The sequence below is a fragment of the Homo sapiens genome, chromosome 15 (genome assembly GCF_000001405.40).
Source record: "Homo sapiens chromosome 15, GRCh38.p14 Primary Assembly".
NCBI lineage: Eukaryota > Metazoa > Chordata > Mammalia > Primates > Hominidae > Homo > Homo sapiens.
In genome coordinates this window covers 66,023,388-66,038,943 of record NC_000015.10, presented here as the reverse complement: position 1 = coordinate 66,038,943, position 15,556 = coordinate 66,023,388, and the positions used below count along the sequence as shown (strand labels likewise).

The window sequence follows — 15,556 nt, the reverse complement described above, 5'->3', positions numbered from 1 at the left end:
TGAGTGAACTGTTAAGCCCTACAGGTGCCCAAGGGTTAAACTAAGCCTTCCCTGGAATGCCCACTTCTTTTTTCCCCTCCTGCTTTGGATCCAGGTGCTGCTCGGCACAGATGCCAGTGAGACCCAGGTGATTGGATTTGTGAACTTGGCTCAATTTCTCATCATCTGCCCTAGGAAACTGCATTATAAGGTGGGAAGAACACAGGACTCAGAGGCAGAACCGGGGTTCAGCCTGGTATCTGTTTCATAATAGGTGTGACCTTGGGCTGCTAGTAGTTGTAACTGAAGCAATGGGGACTTAGCTTGCCTGGGCCTCAGTTTTTTCATCTGTAAAATGGGGACATTACTGTTCTCCTGGCACACCGCCCATGTTTTTATGGGATGTGCTTGAACAGCCTCGTTAAATTAAAGTGCCGCAAAAAGACTATAATCTTATTATCCCTGGTGTGAAAGGAGAGGAAATAGTGAAAAACAGATTCTAACATCACAAAGATGCAAAGCCTTAGCCACTGAGGGGACTTTAGGGCATCGCTCCCTTAACCATCCCTCGATTTTATAAAGGAGAAAATGGAGGCTCAGAGGCAGGCAGGGAAGTGACATGCCCATGGTCAAATAGCAAAACCAGGAGAAGAATCCAGCTCTCCCCTGAGCCCTGCTCTTTCCTCCATACCAAAGTATCAACATCTCCCCAAACCTGGGCTCAGAAATTCTGCTTTTTCCGTCACCCCGTCTTTGAAGAGAAGCCAGGTATGCACCTCAATTTATCATTCCTGGTGCTCCTAGGAAGTTTCCATTATTCATCTTGTTAATTACTCTTCTCTTTGCTCTCCCTGGTTCTGGGCTTGTCTCCTTTTCTGCCTCTCTAAGCCAAGCCTGAAACAATAAAGAAATTTTATTACATATAAAACCGCTTTGGTAAGTGCTACCATTAGCTGATAATAAAAAGAATTTTTTGAGTGTTTCAAGCAGTTGTTTTTACATTTCCTGTTAATTATTCAAACCTCCAGGTATCATGTGGCCATGGGGATGTCAGGGTTGAGGGTGCCTCCTGTGCTTGTCCCGATCACCTCCTCTTCCAGAGAAGAAGTGGCAGTGGGGAACCCCGGGCTAGACACAGTGGGCAGCAGCCAGACTGGCGAGGACATTGTTCCTACTGCTGGAGAGCCTCTAATCTGAGGAGGAAGATGACTTTCCTAGGGAAAATCTAGTCTAATAAGGGAAATAAACTCCTGCCTGCCGAGGGCTGCCAGGATGGTGGGAGAGACCTGTTCTGATGGAAGAGAGCTGCCCCAATTGAGTTTCAGAGCTTCTTGCATTTCTCCACCCACTTGCCCTCACCCCACCCTATGATGGGACCAGGAGAATTTCCACGTTATAAGAGCTCACCCTCAAAGAGCACTTACTACGTGCCAGGTGCTTCTCTATGGACCTACACATGATTACTGCTTTTGCCCTCATGGCAACCCTATGAAGCAGGGACCATTCTTATCTACAGCTAAGGAAACTGAGGCATAGAAAGATTAAGTCACCTGCCTGAAGCCATCCACTAAGAAAGCAGTAGAGCTCAGATACGAAAACTGACAGGCTCATTTTGGCAGATAGTGGGTTTAGTTATCCCAACTGTAGTAGATGTTTAGTAAATGCTTATTGGTTCATTGACTCATGGTAAGTATGAGACGGAAATGCTAAATCCTACAGGATTTGGTGCCTGGGAGAGTCAGGGATGCCTTCCCAGAGCAGGTGGGGTGTAATGGGAGGGCTGGATGCTGCGAGGACTGTTTCCCCATCACCCTCCCAGCATCACTGAGGCCTGACCGGCAACAAGCACTCGGAGCTGCCACTTGCAGGCCATCTGCATGCAGGGTAACAGGCCATGAAATGTCATTATCAGCATGTTGTTCTAAGAGACAGCGTAGGTTATTGCTGGCAAGGATAGCAGCCCAGCCAGGGACAGGGCCTTTGCCTCTGCACTTCCCTTTCTGCAAGAGTCCCTGAGGCCTGGGAGGATCCCCAGGGAAGCAGGGAAGAAAGAAAAAATGCAAGGAGGAATTAGAGAGGGGAAGGGGAAGTTGATAGACGCTTGTTATCCCAGTTAATGTGCCCGGCGCATAAATACTTCCTACATGAATGAATGAGTGGTCCTTTGGGAGTGGATGGTGATGCCAAGCTGGGTACCAATCTGAATTCAGCTTATGTTTAAGGCTCCCAGCTCCCTGCTCAATTTATTTGGTGAATTAATTTGCCTCCCCGCCCCTTTCCTTCCTCTACTTTCCAGGGCTTGCCTTTAGTTAGGAAGACATGGACTCCAAAGATGAAATGACGGTCAAGGCAGGTGTGACTCGGTGTCAAAAAGCCAATAGGAAACACTGAGGCTGTCAGAAAACCTGGATGGGAATGCTCAGTGCAGCACTGTGTGTGATAGCAAAACATTGGAGGCAACACAAATGTCCATCACCTGGAAAGGGGATATATATTCAGTTCTGTGGAATGCTGTGTGGCCGTGAAAATGAATGAATAGAGTAATATGGAGCAACGTGGATAATTCTGCAAAGCAATGCAGAGAGCAAAAGCAATACTGCCTTAGCTTGGGTTCCCAAAGGCAGAACCAGTGTGCAGGGAGCTTCTTTGGGAGGGAGAATGAGGGAGCAGGGAGAAAGGATAGAGAAGAGGAAAGCCAGTAAAGGGTGCATGACTGAGTAGGTCACTGCTGTGGGCAGCTGGAGTCCCTCCGAAGAATCATGCAGCGTGGACTTGAGAAATGGCCTCTGAAGGACAGACCTGGGGTGGTTATCACTGATCCCTGTTCCCGTTGGTTGAAGGTTGTCCCCAGGGATGCCAGCTCCTGGCCCCTCTGGCTGTGCCTGCACAGGCTGATCAGCCTCCTGGAACTCGGGAGAAAGCCCAAGGCAGGAAAGCAGAAAGGACACTGGACTGAAGTGGGGCCACTGGCGGGGTGCTCTGAGCTGTCACCACAGCTGTGCTGAAAGCAGGTGGGCTGAGGGGCTGTGGCTCAGAGGACACAAGCCATCAGCCACAGATTCACCCGTAGATGTGAAGCTTAAAAACATGCAAAACTATAATATATATTGATAGTGGATATATATGTGTGTTAAAAACAGAAAGATACTCATGGCAGTGATGAACATCACATCCAGGATGCTGGTTACCTCTAAGAAGAAAAAGAGAAGCACATTCAGGAAGTGAACACAGGAGACTTCGGTTGTACTGACAATTTGTCTTCTCCTTTTTAATCTAAGTAGTGGGTACATGGGTGTTTGTTTCATTACTTTTTGTGTCTTTAAAACATTTCATCGTCATCATAAACACCATAGAAATGCATAAGGAAGGACCTCAATACTTGCCTTTGGAGGGTGTGGTTCATGGTGGAAGCTGGATAAAAGCTTTGGCTTTGAAGGAGGAGTAGAATTTGGCTAGGTAAAGGGGGAAGAAGGGCCTCCCAGGCCAGGGACCTCATGAGCAAAGGCACGGAGATGGGAATGTGTGTGGGGTATCAGCCCATGTCAAGCAAAATCACTTTGGGGAAATAAAGGTTGAATGTACAAGGTGAGGCCACATTGTGCAGTTATTGCAACACTGAGGAGTTTAAGCACAACAGGACCATTAGAGTGGCAGCACCAGCGGCAGCAGCAGCAGTAGTAGTAGTCATGGTGATTGTAGTAGCAGTAATATTAGAAGAAATAATATACTACTAATAAAACAACTACTGTAATACTACTTATGAAGTTCTTACTCTGTGTCCGGTACTTTGCTGCATACTCTGGGTACCTCAGCTCATTTAAACTACACAACAACCCCCTGAGGTATTGTCTTAGTCCATTTTCTGTTGCTATAACAGAATGCCACAGACCGGGTAATTAATAAAGAAAAGGATTTTTTTTTAGCTCATGGTTCTGAAGGCTGGGAAGTACGAGAGCGTGACACTGGCATCTGGTGAGGGCCTTCTTGCTGTGTCATAACATGGCAGAGGGCATCACATGACAAGAGGGCAAGAGAGCCAGAGAGAGCTCACTTTTACAACAAAGCCACTCCTGCGATAATGAACCCACTCCTGTAACAGTGACATGAATTCATGCATGAGGGCAGAGCCCTCATTAATCCATTAATTCATCATGAGGGCAGAACACTCATTAATCCATTCATGAGGGCAGAGGGATTGTTTCCAACACATAAACTTTTGGGGAACACATTCAAACCATAGCATTTGCCTAGACACAGTGGCTCACGCCTGTATTCCGAGCACTTTGGGAGGCTGAGGTGCAAGGATCGCTTGAGTTCAGGAGTTCGAGACCATCCTGGGCAACATGGTAAGACCCCATCTCTACAAAAAATACAAAAATTAGCCAGGCATGGTGGCATGTCCCTGTAGTCCCAGCTACTCAGGAGGCTGAGCGGGGAGGATCAATTGAGCCTGGGAGATGGAGTTTGCACTGAGCCAAGATCACACCACTGTACTCCAGCCTGGGTGACAGAGTGAGATCCTGTCTCAAAAAGAAAAACCAAAAAACAAAAACAAAAAAAAAAAAACCAGCATTCCACCCCAACCCCCAAAATTCATGTCTTCTGACATGTAAAATATATTCATTCCATCCCAATAGCCACAAAGTCTTAACTGTTCCAACACCAACTCAGAAGTCCAAAGTCCAGAGTCTCATCTGAATCAGATATGGGTGAGACTCAAGGCACATTTCATCTTGAGGTAAATTCCCTCCAGCTGTGAGATTGTGAATTCAAGTTATCTACTTCCAAAATGCAATGGTGGGACAGGTATAGGACAGACACTTCCGTTCCAAAAGGGAGGAATTAGCAAGAAGAAAGGAATAACAAGTAAATCCAGGCTGGGCATGGTGGCCCATGCCTGTAATCCCAGCACTTTGGGAGGCCGAGGCAGGTGGATCACAAGGTCAGGAGTTCAAGACCAGCCTGGCCAAAATGGTAAAACCCTGTCTCTACTAAAAATACAAAAAATTAGCTGGGTGTGGTGGTGGGCGCCTGTAATCCCAGCTACTGGGGAGGCTGAGGCAAAGAATTGCTTGAACCCAGGAGGCAGAAGTTGCAGTAAGCCAAGATCATGGCGCTGCACTCTAGTCTGGGCAACAGGGCGAGACTCCGTCTCACAAAAAATAAAAATAAAAAATAAAAATAAATAAATCCAAAACCAACAGGGAAAATTATATTTGGTCTTAAAGCTGGAGAATAATTTCCTTTGACTCCGTGTCTTGCAGTCTGGACACACTGGTGTGGGGGTTGGGCCCCCAAGGCCTCAGACAGCCCCATCCCCATAGCCTTGCTGGGATCAGCCTATGCCTGGGTACCCAGACCATCTGCTACATCCTTTGAAATCTAGATGGAGGCCACCATGACCCCACAGTGCACACACTCTGCATACCTGCAGAGTCAGTACCACATGGACGCCACCAAGGCTTACTGCCTGTTCCCTCCAGAGTGATGGCCAAAGCTGCACCTGGGCCTGCTTGAGCTGTGACTGGGTCAGCCAAGGAGCACTATGCTGTGCTGGAATTCAGGGAGCAGAGACCCTAGTTGGCTCTGGGCATGGAGCCTGTGGAGGGCACCCTGGGGCCCTTCCCCCAAAACCATTCTGCCCTCCTAGAGCTCGGGGCCTGTTATGGGAGGGGCAGCCTCAGAGATCTCTGAAATGTTCTTCAGGGTCTTTCTCCCTATTGTCTTGGTGTCTTCTGTGTATGGTAATCTCTTCAGCAAACAATCTCTTGGCCACACCTAGGTGCCATTTCCAAAACCTACCTTTTCCCTCTTTGCATGACTAGGCTGCAAATTTTCCAGATATTTCTTCTCTGCTTCTTTTTTTTTTTTTTTTTTTTTTTTTTTGATGGAGTCTCACTCTGTCACCCAGGCTGGAGTGCAGTGGTGCCATCTCAGCTCACTGCAAGCTCTGCCTCCCAGGTTCACGCCATTCTCCTGCCTCAGCCTCCCGAGTAGCTGGCACTATAGGCACCTGCCACCACACCTGGCTAATTTTTTGTATTTTTAGTAGAGATGGGGTTTCACCGTGTTAGCCAGGATGGTCTCGACCTCCTGACCTCATGATCTGCCCACCTCGGCTTCCTTTTTAATCATAAATTCTGTCTTTAAATCCTGTCTTTCCTATCTTACTTTACTGTAATCAGTTAAAAGCAGGCATGCAGCAGGCTGCGTGCTTTGCAGCTTAGATATTTCTCCCACCAGATATCCTGGCTCATCACTCTTAAATTCTGCCTTCCGTAATCTTCTCAAGCACAAGCATAGTTCAGCCAAGTTCTTTGCTACTTTATAACAAGGATGGCCTTTGCTCCAGTTTCCAATACCTTGTTTCTTAGTTCCATCTATGACTTTGTCAGAGTGGCCTTTGCTATGCATATTTCTATCAACATTCTGGTCACAACCATTTAATCTCTAAAAAGTTCCAGACTTTCTCCAGTCTTCTCTTCTTGTGAGCTTTCACCAGGATCACCCTTAATGCTCTGTTCACAATGCAGACTTTTTCCAGCATTCACTTCAGAACTGTTCCTGCTTCTACCCATTACCCAGTCCTCAAACCCTTCCACATTTTCAGGTATCTGCTGTAACAACAATCCCATTTTTCAGTATCAATTTTCTGTCACAGTCTGTTTTCTATTGCTATAACTGAATACCACAGACTGGGTAATTTATTTAAAATAGAGGTTTATTTAGCTCATGGTTATGGAGGCTGGGAAGTTCAAGAGCATGGCACAGACATGTGGTAAAGCAGCAATCCCCAGCCTTTTTTGCTCCAGGGACCAGTTTCATGGAGGACAATTTTTCCATGAAGGGGATGGTTTCAGGATGGAACTGTTCTATGCCAGATCATCAGGCATTAGATTGTCATAAGGAGCTTGCAACCTAGATCCCTCGCAGGCACAGTTCACAATAGGGTGTGTGCTCCCATGAGAATCTAATGCCACCACTGATCTGACAGGAGGCAGAGCTCAGGCAGTAATGCTCGCTCACCTGCTGCTCACCTCCTGCCATGTGGCCTGGTTCCTAACAGGCTACAGACCAGTACTTTCATAACGAAGCCACTCCCAAGATAATGAACCCATTCCTGTAATAACAACATTAATCCATTCACGAGGGCAGAGGGATTAAGTTTCCAACACACGAACTTTTGGGAGACACATTCAGACCAGAGCAGGGAGTACTGTCATAATCTCATTTTACACATTTGGAAGCAGAGGCCCAGAGAAGATAAGTAGTTGCTCAAGATCACACACTGAATTGGTGGCAGAATGTGGATTTAAGTTCAGATCAGCTTTCTGCCCAAGCTCAGCCTCTCCACCACTCTTCCTCACTGCCTTATGGATGTCTTCACCCCTCCATCCCCCCACGTAAATTCCTGAATGTGAGGACAGTACTTCACTTGGAGTGGGAAATGGTTATCCTGTGCTCCACCTCTGATCTGGTGCTGGATTGAGGTAGAACCCCAGCCCGGCCTCCATGGGAGAGAGTGTAGTGATCTCAAAGTGACATTTGCCAGGAAGACCTCAACTTTGCTAACCCTTCACCCAGGCCCTCCCCTCCCAAGACAACATCCTTGCATATTCTATGCCCTATCTCACAAAGGGAAACCAGACTGGGTATAGAAGGTCCTGACTGTGTGCCAATGAGCAAATCTACCCAACATCGAGGAACACGCACTGGGGCATATCAGATGTTAATTAGCGGGTACCTAGGATGGGCTGTGCTTCATGGAAAAAGTGAAGGGACCTTTACTTGGGTAGAAGACAGACCCCATCAAAAGAGGCTTCTAAGACATCCTAACTTTGAGAATTTGGTCCTGATGCTTCAGAAAGGTGGTCAGAAAGGAAACCCCACTTCCCTCTGCTTGGACAAGGTATTTGCTTTATCCTATCAGGCTGATAATCCCAGTGGTTTGGGTTTGGGTACAGAATGGGCAAGTGCAGGCAGGACCTAAATCCTACTAAACAGCTTATGAGCCCTCTTACATTTCCCTTTTATTTTCCCTGAATGGAAATCAGGCCCCAGGTTGAATCCTCAGACCAAGCCTGGGAATTAATTAGGCATGTAATGCTCGTTAGCAGTAATGGATGTTCCTTGCTGAAGTCCTTGTGCAGCTTGGCACGGGGGACGTGGCCTCTGTGGTAGGAATTGAGCATTTTTTCCTGAGGAGGATCTTGACACTGCAGGGGCTCCAAAGCCTGTATGTAAAGTTGAGGGGTGGCAGGGCACAGTGGCTCACACCTGTAATCTCAGCACTTTGGGAGGCCGAGGCAGGCAGATCACCTGAGGTCAGGAGTTCGAGACCAGCCTGGCCAACATGGTGAAACCCCATCTCTACTAAAAATACAAAAATTAGCTGGGCGTGGTGGTGAATGCCTGTGGTCCCAGCTACTCCGGAGGCTGAGGCAGGAGAATCACTTGAACTCGAGAGGTGGAGATTGCAGTGAGCCAAGATCATGCCACTGCACTGCAACCTGGCAACAGAGCAAGACTCCATATCAAAAAAGAATAAAAAGGTTGAGGACTGTGTGTGTGAGTGAGGTAATGGATGTGTGGTCTGAGGCCTGTATACAACATGTATGGGATATGTCATGTGTATTGACATAGCATGGGTCCATGAAGGGTAGATATTACATGTGAGGTTTCTGATATATATGCACTGGGTGTGATGTGGAAATGTGGTATGGGCTGGATATGTCATGTGAATACCTGCCATTTTGCATGCGGCAGGTACATAGCATATGAGTTGCAGACGTGTGGCCTGTGTGCACGAGAAGTCATGTCTGAATCTCTGTGTGTGCTCAGGTGTTTGAGCCTGAAGGACATTGTCACTGTCAGAAGCAAGATTGCTGAGAATTCCCATGACATTGGGCAGAATTATGATCCCGCTTAGCGCTGAGATAACATTGGTTGGAGAAAGTATGGATGAAAAATGTCCCCAGGAATAGAAAAAGGAGTTACACTGGCTTAGCAGAGGATGAGCTGGTGCTGGGGAGACAGGGAGGAATACTTGATTAAAACTGAAAATATCTGTTACCAGGAGGGAGAGGTCCAGAGGAGGGAAAGGGACAGCTCAGCCTAGAGGAGCGCAGGAGGGAAGAGTCATAGGCAGTGGAAGCCGGAAGCCCCAGGAGGGGCGTTGATGTTGGTGGAGAAATGTGCAAAGAGGAAGGCCTGGGAGGGAGAGAGGAAGGCACAGAGGTCCCCACTCAGCTCCCAGGACAGAGGTAACTCATGGAAGTCTTGAGTAGGGGGCAGGTGGCCCAGGGCCCACCTAGAACAATTCTTGACATCTCTGGGTCTGCGCCCCTCAGGGGAAAGACCCCACCATCACACCACCGTTCATCAGTCACAGAGCAGCTTTCCTCTCCTCTTTTCCTGCTGTAAAGAGGTTTCAGTAATGTGGCCATGTCCCAAATGGGACACTTTTGAGACTGAAGAGTGCTATTAATAATTATGCCAGGCCAGCAGGTGAAAACTGGGACTGTCTCAGGCACACAGGATGTATAGTTTCCAAAGCCTTAGAGGTCAGGAAAGGTGAGTGTAAAGAGGAAGACTTCTCATTCCTCACCCAGGCTCAGCCTACCTCCTGTGGGCAAGGCTCCAGCAGAGAAGACCTCGAATGCCACCAGGCCCTTGAACTTGAACATTCTCTGCACCCCTCCCTGGCTCAACCCCCATCAGAACACCACAGGGTAGCATGGGCTTCTGAGAAAATCTAACCTCTCCCCAAAAGTACCCAGAATCATTTGAGGGCACCCAAAAAAAAAAACAAGGCAATTCTGTTTGCCTGGCCACACTTCTCTAAGGCTAAGCTCCATCCAGAATCCAACTGTTCATTTGAGCATCTCTCTCAAGATACTCTGGGATACAGACAGGGATGGATTCGGAGACCCCCAAACATCACCCTTCTCCCCTCCTCTCTCTCCTTGTAGTCATTTGACAAACATTTATTATTTGGCTATCTAACTTTTGCATTGTGAAAATGGCATTACAACAAAATTACAGGAAATGTTTAAAAACAAAAATAAATCACCTCTAGTCCTTCCACCTTAACACAGTAATTAATTTCGTTTTGCATAGTCCCTTCTGATCCTTGTCAGCATTTTGATTATGTAGTTATACACACATATAATTTTACATTCTAACTTTTTTATTTCACATTTTACCATAAGCATTTTTTCCACATAACATAGTTTTCATAAATATTTTAAATGGCTACATAATAGTGCGTTGGGTTTATATACCATAATTTACTTAACAATTCCCCTATTGTTTGACCATTTAGGTTGTTTTCCATTTGGGGCCATTGTAATGTTGCAATGAATATCTTCATGCATATAAATAATTGTTATTCTTTTGAATGATTTCCATTGGATACAGTATTACAAGTGGGATTACTGGGTCAAAGTGAATGAGCATTTTATGACCCTTGATATATATTGCCATATTGCTTTCCAAAATGATCATTTGATCATTCCTATTTTCAACATTATCAGTAATGTGTGTACCAGTTTCTGTATAACATTGTCAGCAGTGCATGTTATTTGTTTCCCTAAATTGCTAATCTAGGAAGTGTAAAATAGGACCTCCCTGTTGTGTTAATTTGCATTTACTGGCTTTCTAACAAGGACAGACATTTTCTGTGTTATGAAAGACCTTTATTGGATACTTACTATGTGGCAGGGTCTGTGCTGGGTGCTGCAGGGGCTGCAGAGATAAGACAAGGTCCCAGTCCTCAAGCTTGCAGTCCAGAACAGACAGGGATACAACTGATCACCAGGAAGAGGAGACTGGGTACAGTAAGACTGGGTACAGAGACATCTTACTGCACCCAGTAAAAGGGAGCTGAGACAGGGGACTCTGGGAGGAAGCTGGTGGGTGTGCTGACATCACAGTTGTCAGAGCACCTTGCATCTGTGTGCTACGTCCCTCTTTTCAGAGGGTTTCCCTCTTGATCTTTTTTGACCCTGAATATTCCTCCAAGACAATTGTCTTCACTGTCCCCATTTTGCAGATGAGGAAGCTGAGGCCCAAGTCTGTTAAATAACTCACATTTGGTCACAGCTTAAGGTGCAGAGCTTAAGAACGCTAGCCTGGGGTTTCTGATCCTAAGCCCAATGCTCTCCAGGGGACATCAGGCCAACAGGAGAGGAGGGCATAGAGGGCAGTGACTCTCAGCCCTGATCATGCATCAGAACCACTGGGAGCTGAAAAAGAAAAGGTAGATTCTTGCCACCCCCACCCAAGATTTGTGCAATCTGAATCATCAAGGGAGGGGCCCAGGATCTGAAGCTCCAGACTCTCGGGGTAGTTCTGAGGCACTGCCTGGCTCGTAGCCCAGAGATAGGGGGTGATGGAACAGGAAGTGGACCTGCAGTGGGGCAGAGGGGAAAGCTGGGGCTTGGCCATTGTGAACGGGAAGAATGCATGGGGCACCCATTATCTCAGCAAATGTTACGGTGCACAGTGATGGAGCAGAATGAGTTTCAGGTGGCCCTGCCTTATCATAGGCCCCTGTCTGTGAGGGATGGTGACTGCCAGTGGGTTCAGCTTGACGTGGTCACTGGTACTCAGGCATAACAGCCCAGTGCTGCCTCAGAAGAGGGTGATAAGTTGTTTACAAGAGCTACTGGGAACCCTAGTGTGGACTCAGCCTGTGGCTGGAAGGGGTAAAGTCGGGATTTGAACCTGTGTCTTCTGAGTCTTTGTGTGCTGATCAATCTGGAAGTGTGCTGATCAGTCTGGAAGTGTGCTTGTTTCTGAGTGAGCTTGCTGGCCTGGCCAGGGCCCTGGAGCTTGCTGGGAGGCCCAGAAGGGTCTCCACAGCTAGCGTGTCCAGTGCCCACTGGATTTCAGGACTGGGAGTGCTGGTGCATGAGGGCTACCAGAGATAATCAGGCGGATCACAGGCACCAAGACATCACTGCAGGTGGGATATGTGTCCTTCCAGGTAAAAGAAGAAAAAAGGGATATTTTCAATTTACATTTCATATAAATGACACCATTTTATTCTCCCACTGATCCTATAAGGCTCCTGGGGCAGTAAGAGCATACCTGTTTTACAGATGCAGATGTGAGGCCACAGTTGATAAGTACCTTGCCTAAATCCACATAGCCAGAGCAATAATGCTAGGCTTCGGCCAGGTGTGGTGGCTTATGCCTGTAATCCCAGCATTTTAAGAGGCCGAGGTGGGTGGATCATGAGGTCAGGAGATCGAGACCATCCTGGCCAACATGGTGAAACCCCGTCTCTACTAAAAATACAAAAAAAAAAAATAGCTGGGTGTGGTGGCATGCGCCTGTAATCCCAGCTACTTGGGAGGCTGAGGCAGGAGAATCCCTTGAAGCAGGGAGGCCGAGGTTGCAGTGAGCCAAGATCGCGCCACTGCACTCCAGCCTGGTGACAAAGCAAGACTCCGTCTCAAAAAATAATAATAATGCTAGGCTTCAAATACAGGTCATCAGGCTCCACATCCTGCACTGCCTCAATTAGGGGTGCATCCATTCCACAAGCGTTTCCTGAGAAGCCGGAGGGCTGGCAATGAACAAAGATGATAAAGCCGTGGTCCCTTCATCAAGCAGTGCTACTCAAAGTGTGGTCCCCGGTCCTGCAGCATCAGCACCACCTTGAGCTTGTTAGCAACACAGAATCTCAGGCTCCTCGCCACACCTCCTGAATCAGAATTTGCATTTTAACAAGACCTCCCAGGTGATTCTCATGCACATTAAAGTTGAAAAAGCCTTGTCTCTAGATAGCTTCTGCATGCTGGCTGCACATTAGAATCACCTGGGGAGCTTTGGGGAGTGGGGGAAATCCCCTGTCAGGGCTCCATCCCCGGAGATCTGAATCACAATCTGGAGCGGGGCCTTGGCATTGACATTTTTAAAGTTCCCCAGGTGATTCTAATGTGGGGCTAAGGTGAGGAGCCACTAGTCCGGGATGTTCTAACCGATGCTGGTCAGGCCTTTCTCTCCTGACTGCCCTGCCCTTTTCTCCTTTTAAGTTTTCTGTGCTGTGCAGTTGGGAGGCATTGTTAATTATCATCTTCAGGAAATAGGTGGGCCAGGAATTCCCCCATCATTGTGGGGTTGAGATGCTGGACCCCAGAGCTTGGGAAGCAGGTCCTGGGGTCTGGATTAGAAGTTCACAGAAGTGTAAGTCTGCAAGCCCAGACTCAGCCTCGGCGGGGGGCTGAACAAATTAAGAGACAGGGGAATGTCCCGAGAGGCCTGAAGGCAAAAGGAGGTATGGTCCGTTCCTAAGGACTCACAAAGCATTAACAGGAGTGGATCTGGGTGGCAGGTTTCATCATCATTCCCATATTATAGGTTAAGAAATTGAGGCTTGGAGATTTTAGGTTTTAGCTCAAGGTCACTTAGGCTTTTAAGACCTAGGACTTGAGCAAAAGTCCGACTCCACCGTGCTACCCTTGTCCTCAGGGTAAAGATCTAGAAGAGGTAGTGGACCTCCTCGCCTCAAGTCCCTCCCTTTGGAGCTTTCTCCAGCCCAGCCCCTCTCCCTCCTCCCTCCTCCCTGCCTCAGGCTGACTGAGGGGCCCAGCATGAGTTTCAATAAGCCAAGCAGGAGTGGACCACGAGGAGCCCCCCCACTCAGGAATCAGCCTGGGACCAGCCCCTCCCTTGGGTGGCTGCCAGCAGCAGGGGACTTCAAGGAGGGGGCAAGGAGAGGAGAATGCGGGTGTGTTTTCCCCTTCTCTTGGGCACTGGCCCAGGTTTTGCATAGACTTGCTGGAAGAGAGAGTTCAATTTGGCTCTGATACAAACTCCACAGTCACTGTACTGTCATCTTCATTTAGTTAACGTTCTTTCTGGGCAGACCTGGCCGGAATTCATCTTCATTATCCAGTGAGGGGCTCACTCCAGGCCAGCTTTGATCTCCTGCAGATGATTTCCCCTGACGGCCATTAACAGGGGTGGGGGAGGCTCAAAGCCAGGGAGGGGCGGGTCACACTCCCCCAACCAACACACACCACAGCTCCCACTCCACCCAAATAGGTGCCCAGTCCACTTTCAGCAGGACCCAGTTCGCCTCTGGCCTCTCTTAGCTGAGCTGGGAGGGGCTGAGATCCTGCTTCTTCCTCTCCCTGCCCCTACAGTGCCCCCGTCCCGGCCCCATCCCTGAAAATTACCACCCACAAAGCCCTTTATAGAGCCCCTTCTCCTTTGGTTTTCACAAGCTCTGAAGCCAGAGCTACCAGGGATTCAGTCCTGGCTTGGTCACTTATATAGTGACCTTGGGTGATTTACTTCACCTCTCTGAGCCAGTTTTCACATCTGCAAGATGGGGCAACACCACCAGCCTGACAGCATTTTGGAAATGATGCCACAACATAATGCATGTAAAGGGCCTAACACAGTGCCTGACACACAGTCAATGTGTTATTACTACTTCTTTGAGGCAGATATTAGCACACCTGTTTCCCAGATGAGGAGGCTCATGGAAGTGCCTCTGGCCAGCTGTGTGACTTTGGGAAAGTCATTTCTTTCCAAGCCTCAGTGTCCTCCACTGTGAGATCCCAAAGGTAACATCCCCACCTCCCAGACTTGTGTGAAGGTCAGCTGAGAGAATGTGTGGGCGCAGCCCCGGGCGCCCCAGGGCTGACTGCAGGTTCAGAATTCTGGAGCTGGTGGCGCTGCCCCCATGGAGGGACTTGTTCTGGGCAGCCATGTTCCCCAAAGTACCTGAACTCTAAATGGAGGCCTTTGTGGCTTTTAAAATTCTTCCAGCTTTTGGTTTGGGTACCAGGAGTACAGAGACTGCTGGGTCAGCAAGATCCAGAGTCTGGTTCCTCACTCTGCTCTGGGTTCCCCAGGAACGAACCAGCCCCACCCTGAGCCTGCAGTTCTTTCCCACTGCTCAGCCCACCCACCTGGTTTCTGCTGGTGACCTCCATCCCCTCTGTCCCAACTTCTCCTGCCCTGGTCCCAGCCCTAGCTGTCCCCATCCTCAGCCCACCACTGGCAACCCTGTATGCTCCCCTCCCCCTGCAGCCTTCAGACCGACCCTCACCATCCCCAACCCCATCCTTGGCTGCCAGTCTAGCCTCAAGTCTTTCTCGGCAGGGCTGTGCCCCAGCTGGTTTTAATCCCCTGTGATTGGCACTCTCTGACAGTGCAGGGTAAGGACATTTGGTCTGAGCAACTGGTGCTTCACTGCAATTATCTGCCCAGGGCAGCAGGGTCTGTAATCCAGCCCATTGATTCAGTGGCTTTTCTTCTGCACACACTCATGGGCACGCCGACCCCACTTGGGTCTGTGCAGACTCTGCAACGAGCAGAGACAGAGGAGCCTTTTTGCAACTGGGGCTGTGAGTCTTTGAGAAGAGTCTCCATTCAAAAAGGCCAGCTAAGAGGGATTCATAAAGTGCCTTATAAAGCCACACAGATGCCTTGTGTTCCCTGGCAGGGAGCCTTGGCTGACGTCCTCACACCTGACCACCCATTCATCTGCCTTTTCACTGGGTCTGCATGTGGCCTGGGCACATGGTTACAGTCTCTAGCCCCAGCTGGGCCTCCT

General features: G+C 48.5%; 1 protein-coding gene across 23 annotated transcripts in view, besides 2 other annotated features; it reads left to right on the top strand.

The window, feature by feature from the left end:
• Positions 1-15,556, top strand: part of MEGF11 (multiple EGF like domains 11) — a 358,452-nt gene that overhangs the window by 214,807 nt on the left and 128,089 nt on the right. The gene's annotated exons all lie outside the window — the stretch shown is intronic.
• Positions 14,507-15,007: an enhancer, noted in NCBI's record as "H3K4me1 hESC enhancer chr15:66316275-66316775 (GRCh37/hg19 assembly coordinates)". NCBI's record gives its function as "activates a minimal SCP1, AML or CMV promoter by ChIP-STARR-seq in primed H9 embryonic stem cells {active_cell/tissue: H9 hESC(primed)}" and the evidence as "EXISTENCE:reporter gene assay evidence [ECO:0000049][PMID:30033119]".
• Positions 15,008-15,508: an enhancer, noted in NCBI's record as "H3K4me1 hESC enhancer chr15:66315774-66316274 (GRCh37/hg19 assembly coordinates)". NCBI's record gives its function as "activates a minimal SCP1, AML or CMV promoter by ChIP-STARR-seq in primed H9 embryonic stem cells {active_cell/tissue: H9 hESC(primed)}" and the evidence as "EXISTENCE:reporter gene assay evidence [ECO:0000049][PMID:30033119]".